General features: G+C 53.7%; 1 protein-coding gene and 1 long non-coding RNA gene across 2 annotated transcripts, besides 1 other annotated feature; one reads left to right on the top strand and one right to left on the bottom strand.

Moving 5' to 3' along the window:
- The first annotated feature begins 4,366 nt into the window (after positions 1 to 4,366).
- LOC124903871 (uncharacterized) lies at positions 4,367 to 6,938 on the top strand. The gene is made up of 2 exons (XR_007065528.1): positions 4,367 to 4,550; positions 6,137 to 6,938. It is a non-coding gene; the product is annotated as an uncharacterized LOC124903871 (long non-coding RNA).
- A 3,597-nt stretch (positions 6,939 to 10,535) lies between these two features.
- Positions 10,536 to 14,355, bottom strand: CAMK2N1 (calcium/calmodulin dependent protein kinase II inhibitor 1). Its single transcript, NM_018584.6, has 2 exons — positions 13,359 to 14,355; positions 10,536 to 11,864 (listed from the first exon to the last, which is right to left on the bottom strand). Exons 1-2 carry the CDS (start codon positions 13,522 to 13,524, stop codon positions 11,794 to 11,796), a joined length of 237 nt encoding a protein of 78 aa, NP_061054.2. The 5' UTR covers positions 13,525 to 14,355; the 3' UTR covers positions 10,536 to 11,793.
- Positions 11,656 to 12,590: an enhancer, noted in NCBI's record as "H3K4me1 hESC enhancer chr1:20810004-20810938 (GRCh37/hg19 assembly coordinates)". NCBI's record gives its function as "activates a minimal SCP1, AML or CMV promoter by ChIP-STARR-seq in primed H9 embryonic stem cells {active_cell/tissue: H9 hESC(primed)}" and the evidence as "EXISTENCE:reporter gene assay evidence [ECO:0000049][PMID:30033119]".
- Positions 14,356 to 16,976: the final 2,621 nt, after the last annotated feature.

A 16,976-nucleotide genomic window follows, 5' to 3' on the forward strand; every position in this document is an offset into this window, starting at 1 on the left:
CTAGGCCTTGAAAGCAACAAGTCCTGGCCCCCTACTCTTCACTGGCCCCCAGACGGGATCGGAACTCTGAGGCAACTCCCACTGTGAACCAGATATCTCTCAAATGCATCCAGGCCTGCTCAGGCAAGACCATGTGGACATCGCCCCTGTCCCACCAGCCACCTGGCACTGCACCTCATTTCTTCCAGCCTCAGGTTCTTCCCTTTAAAATGAAAGCACCAACTGAAACCCTACCTACCTTAAATGGTGAGTTTTCTGTGAGGCTCAGATGACACCATTGCGTAAAAAAGGCTTTTGAAACTGGAAAAGAGCTCTATTTATGCTAGACTTTGTTATTATCATAACATTAATTCACTAACATTCCCTGCTGCTGTGTGCCAGGCATTTGTGCAAATCCCTGGGGATATGGAGACCAAGGAGGAAGCTCCAGCACCTGCCCAAGAGGGAACATGGTCTGACAGAGGAGGCCCGATCAGCAATGACACATGGGCCTTGGACAGAAGGAAGCATCGGCACTGCAGGAGCCTAAGTGAGGGAGCTCATTCAGTTCAGGTGGAAGGGTGTCAGGGAAGGCTTCCTGGAGACGGTGACATCTCAGCTTAAACCTGGAGGATTTAGCTAAATGGAAAGGGTAAGAGGCTAAAAGAAGAGCATGTGCAAAAGTGCAGAGGCATAACAAGTATGGCACTCTGGAAACAACAGAGTGGCCAGGGCATTGAAGCGGGCTTATGGAGAAGTGGAGGAAGATGAGGCTTGCGGTGTAGACCACACGCCATCTGCTCTTTTACCTGCCAGTGATCCCCAGAACTGTTTAGAGAATGGGAAAGGTGCTGCACAACCCATCCCCAGAAAAACAGCATCCCCGGGCACACCTGTGGGTGACAGGGCAGCATGGCCCACTGTAGAGCCTAAGGGTGGGGCAGCATAACGGGAAGGGGCCCACCGAGACAGTCAGGACCCTGCTTCATAGAGCAGGGCAGAGCAGTCATTAGAGACCTTCCCCTTCCTTCTGCGCCCCTGATATTAGAGGAAGGCTCCCCCTTCCTCTAATATCAACTCCACAGCAGCGCCTCCCCAAGGACTGCTCCAAAGGTCAGACTTGAGGATGGAGCCCCAGGAGGCTCAGGGAAAGAATCTGCTATTTATTGAGCACCTACTAGGTGCTGGGTAATAGGTCATTTTACCACCTTTCCAGCACTCCTCTGAGGCCTTGATTCGTGGCCCCATTTCACAGATGAGGGTCAGAGAAGTAAAGGAATCGTGCGCTGAGCATTCAGGTTAACGTAGCCATCAGAGAGACCAGGCTGAATCACTGGTCTGCAGCTTCCCCGTTGGTGCCCTTGAACGAAATTACCGCTTCTCTAGACCTCAATGGGGTAACAACAGTGCTGCTGCTTCTGCGGGCTACTATGGGGCTTCACCGAGATGGGGACTCAGAGCATGACGCATGCGCATTCGGACCACGCAGCAGCTGCAACGATAGACCACGCCCACCTCTCCCATGTGCCCTGCAGAGTCCCACTTTCCTGAGGTCAAGACCAGGACTGAGTTAAATCTGAAATCTCTCCGCATTCATCCAGGGAGTCGACCAGTCCAGTCCGAGGCGCTAGTCACGTTGTTGTGCCGTCTTAACTCCCCAGTTTGGTCGCTTCAAAATGCTAATGCTTTCCACCTCAGCTAGGATTGCAGGGAAACCCAGGGCCCGCCCACCCCCCGCCCTCTGACCATCTCAGAAATGCCCAGACACACATCAGCTTCTCTCTGCCAGTGATAGGAACACAGCCAGGTTCCAGTGGACCAAAGAAACTCTCCAGGAGCTTTCCCAAGACCTCCTCCCGAAAGCAAGGGGAGACGGCCCTGCTGCATGACTCCAGTCAAGACCCTCAAACTTTCTGTGCCCCAGTTTCTTCACAACTCCAGGAGATTGGTGGTCCCACTGAAGTCCATGGAGGGTTTATTTATTTCCTTCTTGACAAATATTTATTTAGACACTGTTCTAGAGAGAGTAGCAGACAAGGCATTGCCCTCAGGAAGCTTCTGGCCTTTTGTGCCTGTTTCCCTGCCTGTTAAATGGAGATTATAATAGTGCCTACCTCATACAGTTGTTGTGAAGATTAAATAAATTAACATGTATAAGAGCTTAGTGCAGCGCTGGGCGTGGTGGCTCACACCTGTGCTCAGCACTTGTGAGAGGTCATGCCAAGAGGACTGATTGAGTCCAGGAGTTGGAGACCAGGCTGGGCAACATAGTGAGACCCCCATCTCTACATAAAAATTTTAAAAATTAACTAGGTGTGGTGGTGTGCACCTGTAGTCCCAGCTACCTGGGAGGCTGAAGTGGAAGGATGGCTTGAGCCTAGGAAGTTGAGGCTGCAGTGAACTGTGATCACGCCAGTACACTCCAGCCTGGACAACACAGCGAGACTGTGTCTCTCAAAACAAAAAATAAAAACAAACAAAAAAAGAGCTTAGTGCAGGGCCTGGCACTTCATAAGTGCCCACAGAGACTTGGTAGTGGTGTAGTAGTAGCAATCCTCAGTGGGCTATAAGGACTGGATGAGATAACACACATAAAGAATTTAGGGTTGTAACTGGCACACAGTACTCATGAAATATATGGCAGTGATTTCCTTAAATGCCGTTAGCTGTTACATCAGCCCATTTTAGAGAGAAGGGAACTGAGGAATGAGAACTTAAGTGACTTGCCCTAAATCTCACTTTAAAGGCTCTTAAGCAGGCTCTAAACTAGTATTTCCTAACCTCAGCACATTGCTGTTTGAGGCTGAATCATTCTTTGCAGTGGGGCTGTCCTGTGCACTCTAGGATGTTTAGCAGTATCCCTGGCCTCCGCCCACCAGATGCCAGTAGCACTAGCCCTCTCCCCAGCATTTTGACAACCAAAAATGTCTCCAGACATTGCCAAAGTCCCCTGGGGGGCCAAATCAGCCCCAGCTGAGAAGCACTGCTCTAAACTGACCTTTGAGCTCATATATGAAAAACCTCCTGATCTAGCCCTAACCTCCTTTCCCCCAGTCCCAACACCACCACAAATGCCTTGTTCCAACCAGCCCCTAAAGGACTGCCCTTTCTCAAGCAAACCCCAAACTTACCAACATCTGTCCCTCTGCTCAAGAGTGACCTTGCCACCCCATCCCCTTCTCCAAGGCCCCGCTGAAATCCCGCCCACTCATTAAATGGTCTCCTCACCCCCCAGAACACGTTGTTTGTCTGTGCCCAGCCTTCATCATGATGGGCATTTCATTTTATATCGCATCTGATCGTGAGCATATTCATGCTTCCCTGTTCCCTGTCCCTCATACCCACCCCCAACTCCAGGGGAGGGGCTGTGCCTGACTCACCCCTGTGTCCCCGGCACCCTGCATGGGGCCAGGCACACAGGCCGGGTCATCACTCTGTGCAGATGGTTGTCATAGATGAGACTGGTGCCCAAGCAGCCTCTTGGATGCTGGTGAAGGACCCCCAGGTTAGAAGGCAATGTGGCATGGAATTTAGGAGTGGTTAAGAGTTCAGAGTGGGGGCCGGGCGTGGTGGTTCACGCCTGTAATCCTAGCACTTTGGGAGGCCAAGGCGGGCGGATCACCTGAGGTCAGGAGTTCGAGACCAGCCTTGCCAACATGGTGAAATTCCCGTCTCTACTAAAAATACAAAAATTAGTCAGGCATGGTGGCAGTCGCCTGTAATCCCAGCTACTCGGGAGGCTGAGGCAGGAGAATCACTTGAACTCGTGAGGCGGAGGTTGCAGTGAGCCAAGATCGTGCCATTGCGCTCCAGCCTGGGGCACAAGAGCGAGACTTCGTCTCAAAAAAAAAAAAAAAAAAGAGTTCAGAGTGGAAGCCAGACTCAGACTCAGTTTCCACTCCTGGCTCCTTCCTGACTGAGGACAGGTTACTCAGAACCTCTGGGCCTCGGTTTCTTTGTATGTGAAATGGGCATGATATATAGTTGTAACTGGCACACACCATAAACATGATTCCTAGGGCTGCTGTGAGAATTAAATAAGAAAATGTACACGGAACACTTAGCACTGTGGCACATGACAAGAAGGCTATTAAGAAAATTTAAATAATGGAAAAAAAATAGAATACCGATAGTGATAACTGCGCACTCATACAATGCCTTGGTTGCAGAGGTCATTCCCCCACATTACCTTGTGGGGTTTGATCAGCAGTTCTGGAAGCACCTAGGGCAGGAATCACCACCCCAGGGTCACAGATGAGACTGCTGAGGTTCCCAGAGGACCCAAGCAGGGCTGCAGGTGCCCTGGCTCCCAACTCAGTCAGTGCTCTCTGGTTCCGGAAAAGAATTCTGGGTGAAAGCGGGAGGGGGTGGGAAGCTCCTTCCCCCCAGGTACCCCTGAGGTCTAACTCTGGAACTCCTTGGATAATGAGAAAAGGGGGGCTTCGGAACCCAGGACGTGGGTTCCACATCCTGCGGGGGCAGGGAGGCCGCGCGGGAGGCCGCCAGACGCAGTAAATAATTCACACAGATGAACTGGAGATAAGGGCGGCTTCGTGGAGGATCGAGTTCAGGTCGGAGGAGGCTCAGACGGCTGGGGGGACTTGTGGTCTCCCCGGTCTGAGAGGGGAAAATTCCTGGGACTCTGGCTGCCAGGAAAACACAGTCCCCAGGTGCCGGCTTGGTGCCACTCCCTGCCATTGGCGGGAGGGAGCTCCCCGGAACTGCCCCGCGGGGCAACAGGCCTGGCCAGCCGCCTCCGCCCAGCCGTCCCCATGGCAACCGGCTGGCCTGGTCCAGGGTTCACGGACAACCGGATCCTCTGTCTCCCCTCCCCCACGGGAGGCTGGGCGTCTTAGACTCCCAACTGTGTTCTCTGGGAGCTTCCAGCTGCAGGAACCTACAGAATCATCCTGTCTGACCCCCTCGTTTTATGGGAGTAGTTGAGACCACGGACTCTGGGGACCTGCCCGTCCTGGTTGCAAGCCCCGCTCCACCATTTCCTGCTGTAGGATCCTAGGCAGGGGACTTGGCCACCCTGTGCCTCGGTGTTCATTATCTGTAAAATGGGGATGATAATAAGTGACTGTCTTATAGGGTTGTGAAAATTGAATGGACTAAATGCAAAGAGGGCAGAGTGGTTACTGGTCTGTAGCCAGCACTGAGGAAGCATTATTTTCCATGTTGGGAAGGTGACGGTCACACAGCATGCTATTAGCAGATTTGGGATTGGAATGCAGTTGCCAATTCTTCCTAAAACACCCAGGGTGGCCACATTGGGATTCTCCAAGGGTTACCTGTGCTTCCTGCGGGCCCACCCAACCCCCCTCTCTAACCTCTTGACAGTCACAGTCATTGAATTGTCTTTGACCAGGCAGTAAAATCCCTGAACCAGAAAAGGTCTTGCTCTAGCCAGCCCGGTCTCCCCAGTGCCAAGCACAAACCCGTTTCCTGCACCTCCACTTTCCACCCCATGCCTGGTAGAGGAGTTGTTGAATGAATATAGATTTAATTAATTAATTAGTTCATCTCCTCTACCCAAACACCCTCCCAGAGCAAGCTCCTGAAGCCCCTGGCCACCCAGCTCTCTCTCTTACAGGACACCCCTTACGCTGACCACTTCCTGCCATCAGCCCCCACCCCACCCCACTGCCATCACCATGCTGTTCACAGTTCCCATGGCACATTGCCTGGGTCCTCCTCCTCCCTTCAGCCTGCCCTCCCTCACTTCCCTCCCCGGTTAGTGACCCTTTGTCCTCAAAATGGCTGTTTTGGGGTCAAGGACCCTCCTCCAGGTCCAGAGGTGTACATTTCCCCTGGGTTAAGGAAAAACCCTCCAATGTGAGAGGCAACAAAGTAAACCGTCCTCATCCCCCATCCTGGGGGAGACAAATGGGGGCCTGGTACTGCCACGATGGGTGTAGGGGTAATCCAGCGGCTTTCTGGGACTCTCCATCCCACTAGGGAGGTGGCAGGGGCTTTTGGACGCAGAATCTCTGCCCTTAGGGGCCACCCCACAAGCTCCAGCCCAGCTGCCAGGTTTCCTCGGATACGGCCCAGTCGCCTCTGATTTATTTTTGCATGTGGTTTGGGAGAATCTCTGTTGCTGGAATAACGACAACCTTTTTTTTTCTCTCTCTCTTTTCCTTCCCTCCAATAGGCAGACTTTATAAACCAGAGCAGCTGCCTGAAGGTTTCCAAGAAAAAAATTCTGCACAGTTTCTAACCAGGGTGACAGTTCCCCTCCACAGGAAGTTACTTTTATTAATTTTTTTATCTCTTCTTTTGTAAGACTATATACTGGTCATCAGGCAGCACCTGTGGGCATTTTCTTATTTCCCCCCACTGCTCCCATTTGCCTGGAATTCATTATTAAATCTAACTCATAGTGGCCTTGCCCAACACAGGGGCGAAGTTCAAACTACTGAAAAATGGGTCACTCAAATCGCCTGTGCAGAAGAATCCCAAATAATTTATGGAGATACTCCTCCCTCAAGGCGGTGAAACATAAATCCCTGTCCCTGAAGTGTGGGCTGTGCATAATGATTTCCTTCTATGGAGTATAGTATGGAAAGCAGGGGGAAAGAGTAATCTTGCAGGAGAGAAACCTGACAAGCACTAGCTCAGCCAGATGGCCAAGGTCAACATCAGCAGCGATCAGTCGTGTCTATAGCATGGACACTTGATATGATGTGATGGAAACAGCACATCACCCCCAAACCCATAACCACAGTTGAACCATGAGAAAAACAGCAGACAGACCCCACCTGAGGGACAGTCTACAAATTACCTGACCAACAGTCCATCAAAAGCAAGGAAAGTCTGAGAAACTACCACAGCCAAGAGCAGCCTAGGGAAATAAGATGGCTGCATACAATGTGAGAGACCCTGTGGAACAGAGAAAGGATGGTGGGTAAAAACTAATAAAATCCAAATAAACTACAGAGTTTAGTTAACAATAACATACCAGTGTTGTGGAAAATGTACCGCAGCAATGTCAGGTGTTAACAATAGGAGAAACTGGGTTGGGGTATATGGCAATTCTGTACTATCTGCAAAACTTTTCTGTAAGTCTAAAACTATTCTAAAAGTTTACATTTTAAACAGTGAGTCATCTGTCTGGGCTTTAGGTAATCCTCAAAACCTAGCTATCTTTGATTCCCCTTTTTTGCCATTTATGAAGGATTTGAGCTTCTGATGTGGGGGGTATCCAAGCCCCTAGATCCCAACCTCATTTCCATAGGAAGAATCATCATTTTCAAGCTCAGGAAAAACATCCATTTTGTTCACCATGGTATACCCAGATAGCCTAGCACAGTACCAGGCACATAGTAGGTGCTAAATTGATATTTGTCCAATGAAAGAAACTTGAGGAGGTCTTCTTGAAGGAAGTGATCCAAGCAGAAAGCCAAGATCTTCCCTTCCCAGGGCGAGAAGTAAGTACCTCTTAGTCTCCATCCAGAAAAGGAAGACTTCTGGCAATCTGATTAGAAGCGGGTAGAGACTCCTCTTGACTCTGCCTTTGGAAGGCAAGCATGTGGATTTACTTAGGATTGTATTTATTAGGACATTTTGGGAGCTGATGGAGATCATGAGAGGCAGGCTGATCCCCCCAAACCACTCCCCACCTCCTCACCCAAGACCCCACCCTTCAAACCCCCAAGATGCCTCCACTGACCCTCAGGGCAACTGCCAAAACTATACGCAAAGAAGCTTCATGCAACAAAAACAGTTGGCTAGATCTTAAAAGTGCATTTCCTGGCACATGGTAGTCACTTCATATATGTTAATATTGATGGATGCCATTTATTATGCACCAGGCCCTGTGCAGGGAGAAGGGAGGAGTTTCCATCTAATGATGTGTGAGAATTGTCATTATCCCTATTTTATAGAAGACAAAACAGAGGCCCAAAGAACTTGAGAAATGCCCAAGTCACAGCTAGAAAGTATAGGAGATTTCAAATCCAAAACATCTGTGTCCCAAACCCATGTACCAGCCACCCTAATGTCTGACCCCTCCCTCTAGGCCAGAGCTTCCCACCAGGCCCCCAGACCCTGGGAGTCCCCTCCCTGCTCTCTGCAGAGGCACCCCTTACTCATCCCTTCATCTGTCTCCTCCAGACAGCAGTGATTTTCAAGTCTCTCTCTTTTAAAACTTAATTTGCCAATTTCCCCCTTAGAGGTGCTTTTTGATATTCCTTCAGGCTGTCAGCCTGGACAGGCCACGCAAGCAGAATCCAGGGAGATGGATGCTTATTACAACCATTCAATTAATTAAGTTTGAATAATGCAGCGCTGGCATGCTCCCATCGATCAGTGGAGGCCTATAGACCTCCCCCACCTTGGACTTTTAATAGCCTTTTCCATATTTATTGCTACCTAACCGGACACTTCAAGCATATCCTGCACTTGGTATAATTTGATATCTGCCCGGTCCCCAAAGTGCCCTCTCAACAAATGTTTACCTGATGCTATAGTGTATTTAAAAGATTTATATTCCTTTTTGCTGAATGGAGTCCTTCGGAAAGGAGGACTGTCTTCCCAAGCAGAGGATCCGGCATTCGCTGGCGGGGTGGCCTCCAGCAGGAATGTTTTAATACATCACTTATTAAAATGGACCTGGAGCCTTGGCCGAGGGCTCCCATACTCCCTGCTTCCCAACAGAGGACAGCCTTAGGCCTTAGCTGACCACTTCCAAGCCCTGCCCCCCTTCTAAACCCTTACACAATGACTATCAGAGCCGACAGGGCCTCAAACCAACAAACCAACAAAGGACCTTTAAGGCTGAAGGACAGTGACTGCAGCTGGGACTGAGCCTGGTCCTGGGGTCAGATGACCCTGCATCCCCCTCCTGAAGGGTGGACCCTGGGTTTCAGTCCTGGCTCAGTGACTTACTAGCTGAGTCACCTTATACAAGTTACTTCACCCTTCTGAGCCCCGGTTTCTCCTGTACAATCAGGATAATAATAGTGCCTATTTCACAGGGTTTTGTGAGCCTGGTATACAGTAAGAGCTCAATTAATGCAGAGGCTGTGCGATCCTTTTGGCCTCTCTGGGGCCTCGATTTCCTTACCTACTGAAGAGAGCAACTCATGGGTTTCTAGGGGTGCTGGGATGATTGCATAGGAAAACAGGAGAGAAAACACCTTGTAATTACACAGTGCTTTGATCACGTCAGTGGCAATTACTCCTGGGTGTGGACACAAATCGTGTCTTCTGAAAGAATCTTTTCACATGGCTTCTGCCCCTCGGCAGATTGATGCCTTGTCCCCCTCAGCCTATCAGCGGGAATGCCAGGGGATGGCTGAGCTCCATGGTGCCCATCAGCTCCCAGGTGCTGGGAGTCCCCGGGTAAGCAGGGAGGAGAGCAGGTTCTGGAGGAGGGTCAGGTGCCTGGGAAAATCAATCTGGCATTCCCACTCCTGTTGGCCCCGCCAGCCCCAGCTTGCTCACCATTCCCAATAATAACTGCTTGCATGGAGAGCTCTCTGCTGGGACCTCCTGAGCCCTTGGGCCTCCACTGCCTGGGAAGGAGGTTGAGACATCACCCACTCTGGGCCCTCTGGAGCCCCTCTTCCTCCTGCCTGCCCCCCTCCCCTAGCCTCTCACCTGAAGTCTGAGTCACTCTTAGGCTCCTGTCACTGTGAGCTGTGTTGTGACGCCTGGCTGACAGCTTTACCACAAACACATTAAAAGCTCCCAGCACTTCTGGGTGTGTAATAGCCCAGGAGAAAAAAAAAAACTCTCCCAGTCTTTCTTCAGCCAAAATCCTCCTCCCAAACCCTCCTCCCCCAGGGGCCTGCTCCACGACCTTTGACTGCCCCAAGCCTAACAAGGGGCTAAGATTTGTCTTCCTATCAAGCCCTTCTAACTGATGATTAGAGAAAGGCTGATAAGTGCAGGTGCCTGAGACCTCTCAGGCCGTGCACCCCCAGGAGCAGCGCATCCCTTGACCTGTGAGCCCCGGAAGGTGAAGATGAAGACAGAATGCAACTCATCTGCAGCCCCGCCTCTGAGGACAGGGGGCCCCTGGCGAAGTATGAAAGGTGCGTAGAGTGGCCTGATACTGAGTGTTCCCATGTGCTGGCACTGTGTTCATCCTCCTAATAACCCTATGAGGCAGGGGCTGAGTTATCCTCACTTTACAGATTAGGAAATTGAGGCACTTGCTCAAGTCTAAAGACCTAGGAAGTCGGGTAGCTGGGACTCGCATCCAACTCTGCCAGCCTGCAAAGTCACTCTTAACAAGACTGCCTGCTTCCCTGCACAGTATCCCTCTTTCTCCCCTCACCCCACCAGAGATGGCAGAAACCTCAGGGATGCAGTGAGAGCTCAACCTGCAAATCCAAAATGGAATAAATTCACCTTAGGGGGATGGCCTTGCCAGTCCAGTCCATCTTTCCTCTCATCTGAGCCCACCCATAGGGGACCCCAACATTGCCTTTTTGCCTCGCAGACCAAAGCCACCATCCCTCCTTCCTGTCTGCAGCCAGCCCACAAACAGCAAGTCATGTCCCCCCCACCCCACCCCCCCAGCCAAAGCAGAGAAAAGAGAGGAGTGAGACACAGGAACAATTCTTTTATTGTACATTGGAGAAATAGCCCTGTGTGCTGGTTCAAGGTGCAACATACAGAATATTGAATTAAGAAAAGAGGGAACGGGGAAGGGAAGGGAAACCTCTTGAGGTCCAAAGTTGCAAACAAAAAATGGTAAAAGATTTCCTCACGCAAGAGGCATTTTTGCAAATACCATGCAAAACAGGCAGCTGGTGTGCCTTAAGAGAATCCCTATAAATAACAGAAAAGACACTCCAAGCATTCCTGTACGTGGACTCAGAGCACAGAGAAAAGAAACTAAAATGCCTTTTGGCATTTCAAGATATTTGGCACTCTTGTGATTACATTTTTTTACAGTCCATTAAAGAGAATAAACTGACATAATATTAGAGAAATAAACAGGCTGCTCACACAACAGACTGCAAGGGGAAGTTAGAAAAAGCTCAAGCATTTTTTTCTTTGTTTTTCGTGTGTGTGTGTGTGTGTGTGTGTGTGTGTGTGTGTTTTTCTGACATAAAAAATGTGTCCATTTGCATTAACTTGGGCAGATAGCTTGCAGCAACAAAGAAACACAAGCTTTACAACTCATTTTAAAATAAAATCTTTTCTATGTATCATTCCTTAGAAAAGTTCTCTTCTTGTTTTAAACACATTCCTGATAACTTCTAAAGATGACCAAAATAAAACAGAATATCTACAGAGATCATTTTCTGAATTTTTTGTACATCCAAGGATAACAACATAAAAAAAATAAAACTGGACAGCATTTCACATCCAAGTGCACAGAACCATTTTTGCAAGATTAAATAATGTAAACATTGGGAACAGCCAAATCAGCGAAGAATGCCAACACCTCAAAACACCTGGTGTTGCCGCTTCATTAAGTGGTTCAAAATCCAGATCTATAATTGCGCAATATTCACCGTATATAAAAAGAAATGGATATTAATTTTGACAAATAGCTGCAACTGAGACTTCTTTTTATTTCTTTATATGTGTATATAGTGAATTTTTATTATTTTTAAAATTTTATTTATTTTTTTATTTTTATTTTTGCAGAGGAGCCCAGAGCCTTCTCCTCCTCCTCCTCCTCCTCTCGCCTCATCTGTCTCCCGGCCTGATACCAGATACAGGTTGTTGATTTCATCGTGGGTAGCAAGCTAGTAATAAATTTCAAAGTGCTTTCTCTTTTCATGCTTTTTGCCAATAACTGTTACCGCCGTTCTTATTCTCTCCCTTAACTCATTGTCTTTGGGGGAGTTAGACACCAGGAGGTGCCTTGTCGGTCATATTTTTCAGCACGTCATCAATCCTATCATCTTCAATAACAACTGCAAAAAAAGGGGGGAAAAGAGAGGTGAGCGCGCTGGGGCCTAGCCAGAGGTCTCTGACATTTCCCGTTATGCCCAGAGTGGGAGGTCGGGAGAGGAGAGGGCGAGGGAGCAGGGCTCACTGCGCGGTGAAACAGCTCCATCCTCCGTCCCTGCCAGGGGTCCCTTCCCTGCTTTCCTCTGAACCACCCACCACCCTCTATCCTCCAGCCTGCGTCCCAGCTCCATTCTGAGAAAAGGAAACAGAGGGCGCCAACCCAGCCGCTCCTGCTGCAGCCAGGGCGCGCACTGGCCCGCGTCCTCCCCGCACCAGGCGCACTAATTTAGACAGAAATGTCTGGAGCTGGGATAGGAGAGGGAGCCAAAGTCTTTGGGTCTCGGGACCCCAGGTAAGTCCCGAGCGCAGCTCCGGTGGGCAAGGCTAGGTGCGGAGATGAGCGGAACCAGGAGGGGACGCCAAAACCGGTTCCCACGACGCGCAGCGGGTGGGGGTTAGGGCCTGGCCTGGGCGGGCGCCCCCTCCTGCGCGCCCTCTCCCAGCCGCTGGCCGACTGACTCGGCCGCCCCGCGCTCCCCGCTGCCGCAGAGGTCAGAGCCTCCCTTCGCTGCCTGCCAGGGACACATGCCGTAACCTCGGCCTCTCTTACCGTCTCGACTTAGCCTCGCCTTTCTCAGTCCCTCCATCGTCCCTCGGCGCGACGGCCGGCAGCCGATCGAGGTCTCTGTCTCTCCCTGTCTAAGGTGTCGGTCGCCCTTATTGTTTCGGCGGCTTCTGCGTCCTCCCCAAACGCGCGTCCTCGGCTCTGTCTCTCCCGCTTCAGCTCCCCTCTCGGGAGCTTTGTCTCGGTCTCTGCCACCCTCGGTCTCCCGCGTACCCCCTCCCCTCCATCCCTGCGTCTCAGTCTCTCTCTGCAGCCGTCGGTCCCCCTCATTGTCCCCGCGTCTCTGGAGCTCCTCTCGGAGCCTCTCTGCGTCTCCGCCTCTCTGGGGCTTTTCCAGCTCTCGCGCGGATCGCCCAGGCCTGGCAAACCCCCTCCCAAGCCAAGTAACAATGAAAAGCCCGTGCGACCCGAACACCCTAGCCTTCCCCGCAGGAATGGGATCCTCCCCACGCAGGTCCCCACGCCGTCCCCTGGGGGTCCCTGGGACCCCCTCCCCACAGGGTTATGGAGCGAGTGCAGCTGTGACTACACTGCGCAAAAGGCGGGGGTGGGGGGCGCAAATCAAAAAGCAAACTTTGCCGCGCGGGTGGAGACCCCCAGCTGCTGCTAGAAGCCGCCACGCCCCCAGGGTGACCCAGCCGGGGATCCGGCTTAGGGGGACGCGTTCCTGCGACCCGCTTCAGCCGGACCCGCAGTGCGGGATCCCCCAATTCTGCAAGAAGGGATTCCGTCAGGTCTGAACGGGCTCCAGCGGGTGGGAGACCTCCGCAACCCTTGTTCAGGCCGCGGCGCGGGAAAAAGGGGGTGTCAGACAAGGGGGCCGCGAACTCACCCCGCTTGCTCCGGCCGATCTGGCCCAGCTTGGGCGGCCGCTTGTTCTGCCCGGCGCCGAAGAAGTTGTTGGTGTCCTGCAGGCGGCAGGAGAAGATCTGGCCCACGTCGCCGCCGTCGCCGTAGGGGCTCAGCTTCTCGTCGCCGTAGGGCAGCACCTCCGACATGGTCGCGTCCGGGGGCTCCGCCGCGGCGCCTCCTCCGCCCGCGTCCCCGCCCGCGGCGGACAGGGTCAGCGGCGCTGGGGCCGGGGGCGGCCGGCCGGGGACGGCCCGCGGGCTGCTGCGGCGGTGGCGCCGGCGAGAGGCCGGGGGACGCCGCTAGGGCAAGAGCGCGGCACTCGCGCGAGCGGCCCGGAGAGCGCCCGCGGCTGCGCTGCGCTGCGCTCCGGCTCCGCGCGCGAGTGGCTGCTGCTCCGCCAGAGGCGAGCAGGACTCACATCCTCGGCGCGCTGGGGCTCTGGGCGGGGGCCGGGCCGGGCGGGGCCGCGAGCCGGGAGGGAGGAGACGTCCCTGCGAGCCCGGAGGGCGCGGGACCGAGGAGGGCGCACCCCGGGAGCCGGGCGGGCCGGTCCTGCGGCGAGTGCGGGCGGCGGCGCCGGTTCGGGGAGGCAGACTGGGAGCTGCGAGCGGCGGGGCTGCGAGGGGCGGAGGGGGAGGGGAGGGAGAGAGGAGGGAGGGCACCGGGGAGGAAACCCGGAGGGAGGGTGGGGGAGAGAAACCGAGAGGGAGACGGGGCTGAAAAACAGGGACTGAAAGACAGGGAGGCAGGGGAGACGGTGGAAGGAGACAGAGGAGAGGGGGAGAGGAAGGAGAGGAGGAGAAAGAAGAAAAGGTGGGGTGGGGGACGAGCTAGAACGGAGAGACAGGGGAAAGATGAGAGGAGGAGGGAAAGGATCGGGAGGGAGAGGAAGAGGGTCGGAGAGGGAAGGAAGGGAGAAAAACAGAGGGGGGAGAGGGAGGCAGGGATAGAGGAGGCAGCGAGCTGCGAGGAGAAATGCCGGCCGCGGCGCCGAGGCGAGGCGCGGGGAGGAGGGCGGGAGGAGGCGGGGAGGAGGGGACCCGCGGGCCTCGGGGAGAGATCCCTGCGAGCGGAGCGACGTCACGGGGCCGCGCCGGCCGGCCCGGGCTGCCGCTAGCTTCCTGCCCCCGCCCCCAGCCCCCGCCGTCCCGCTCACGGGTGTTTACGGGGCCCGGAGCTGGTGCGCGCCCGCCCCGCAGCCGGCTTTGCCTCCCGAGGGGACCTCGGGGGGAGTGGGGGTTCCGGGAGCTGGAGAGGGAGCGGACAGACGACGCACACGCGGGGAAGGGCGGAAGCATGCTGACCCCCCTGGGGGGCAGATGCTGCGGGGCAAAGATCGGAGGGCTCCAGGGCGACCCGCGGACATAGCCTCCCCCGCCATCTGCAAACCGGGGAGCCCTTCCTCCCCACCACACTTGCTCCCCAATTCAGACCCTGAGGGCCCAGCCACTGGGGCCTCACACTCTCCTCCCGCCCCGGCTCAGTCCGACCTGGAAGGCCTCACTCCCCCACGCCCCCGCCCAACTGCGCTGGACTCCGGCTCCCGCAGGGCCTCCAGGAGGGGGAGGGGGAGAGGGAAGGGGCAGCCCCGCCTCCCGCAGGAGAAGGGAGCGCCTCATTACGCCGGGCTCGCCCGGGATGCCTGGCTCCCGGCGTCCGCTGCCTCCGCTGGGGACGTCCCGGGTCTGCCGCCCTCTGCCCTCGGGGGTCTCCCTTCCAGCAACAGCCGTGCGCCCTGTGGAGAGACTATGGCCTCTGAGAGGAGGAGCGGGCTCCTCGATGCCGGGAGGGAGACTGGGGCAGCCCCAGAGGCCTGGGAGGCGCATCTGCCAAGCAGATGGTAACTCCGAGGGGGCAAGGTGCATGAGGAGCGCTCATTATCCTCGCCGGAGCCAACAGCACCTGCCCTCCGCTGGAGACCGTCTTTGCTTAGTAGAGCCGGCCTGACCACAGGGAGGGGCAACCACCCCAAGGTCATGCCAGCTGCTGGAGGCAGGGCTAGGAAACACATCCAGGTGGCCCAGGTGAGTCTCACCTGGCTCATCCTGCTGCCCTGCAAGGGGTCCCATCAACAGTGAAAGGAGCTCTCCCCTCCTATCTAGAACTCTGGCGGGTGGGAGCTGGAGGCAGAAGGGGAAGGTTTTTTCCTGGTATAACATCTGGTGGAGGGGGGAGTCAGTCCAGCCCCCTCTCCAAACGGTGTAAAAGGATTGGCTGGCCTCGGGAAGCCAGAATCCATGGGGGGAGGAGGAAGGGAGCAGAGAAAAGGGAGACTGAAGCAATGTGGCAGGTGGAATAAGCATGTCCCTTGGATTTAGGTCTGGGTTTGAATCCCAACCCCGTGGTTTGCTGACTGTGTGACCCTGGGTGGGTCATCTCTCCTCTCTGAGCTTCCATGGTCTCAGCTGTCAAATGGGTATATGGCTAGCCAGTACCTGTGTACCCTGCAGGACAGTTATGAAAACAAAAATAAAATCAGGCTCTGATGCCTGGCTGAGAGTGGATGTGCAATAGACATTTGAGAGATGACTTAATGAGTGAGAAAGAACGGTAGCACTTCATTTGTTTCCATTTCAGGACCACATGAGCTGGGAGAATCCTTAGAGATGAGCTGGGCCTATCCCTCATTTCCATATGGGGAAACAGAAGTCCAGAGGGCCAGGGGCTAGCCCCAAATCCCACAGTTTGTCGATGGCAGAAGCCTCAGGTCCCCAGACTGACCTTGTTCCTCTCCACAAGCCACCTGGCTCATTCATTAGGACTTTCCCAAGTGCCTGCTTTGAGGTTAGTGCCAAAGCCAAGTGCTAAGAGAGAAAACAAGAGCGTAACAAGCAGGATGATAAAGTTCCAAGAAGCGCTGACATTTGTCCCCTTTCTTATTTTCCTCCAACGCATTTTCACATCTATTATTGACCTTGCTTCTCAAAATAAATACCTTTTGAGGTAGAAAGAGGAGACGTTGCATCCCTGTTTAACTGACATAGCAGAAAGAGGATAAGTGACTTGCCCAAGGTCACAGCCTAGTGATAGAGCCAGGAGAAGCCACTGTGGCCAGCCCTGATTCCGTAGGGGACTCCCTGCAGTGGTGACAGCATACAGGGCTGGGACCACCCCATTCATCTCACATCCGCCTGGCTCCTTCCTTGCTGCTGAGAGGCACAAAGCAATTTACACGCTGAGCACCTACGACAGTCCCACTGCACAGAAGGTAAGCAGAAAGACCCAGCGAGGACTGACGAATCCCTGCACACACAGCAAGTGAGAGCAAGAAGAGAAGTCCAATTTCCACCCCATCTGTTTTTATGTTTACCTTGCCTTGTTCCAAATAAGGTTAAAGGTGACAGCATCCCATGTTCCCAACTCAGTACCCACCCCCTTCAGGAAGCACACGCGCCTCCCAGCACATGGTGCTTGACAGCTTGAAAAGCATCTCCATGACTATTCGCTCATTAATCGCTAAGCTTCGGAAGTGGAGGGGACTGGGACTGTCAGGCCCATTTCACAGACAAGGTGCCTGAAGGTGGAGTGATGTCCCCAGGGTCACACAGAAGTTCTGCAAGGGCAAATTGCGAATCAGTATGGCTTTCCTCCACCTCCA

This window comes from Homo sapiens, chromosome 1 (genome assembly GCF_000001405.40).
Source record: "Homo sapiens chromosome 1, GRCh38.p14 Primary Assembly".
Taxonomy (NCBI): Eukaryota; Metazoa; Chordata; class Mammalia; order Primates; family Hominidae; genus Homo; species Homo sapiens.

Bases quoted from the DNA above. Each gene is read 5' to 3' on its own strand.
- CAMK2N1 (NM_018584.6), bottom strand. From the start codon at position 13,524: ATGTCGGAGGTGCTGCCCTACGGCGACGAGAAGCTGAGCCCCTACGGC. The intron at 11,865-13,358 runs GTGAGTTCGCGG...CTTTTTTTGCAG, and splicing joins GATCGGCCGGAGCAAGCGGG to TTGTTATTGAAGATGATAGG.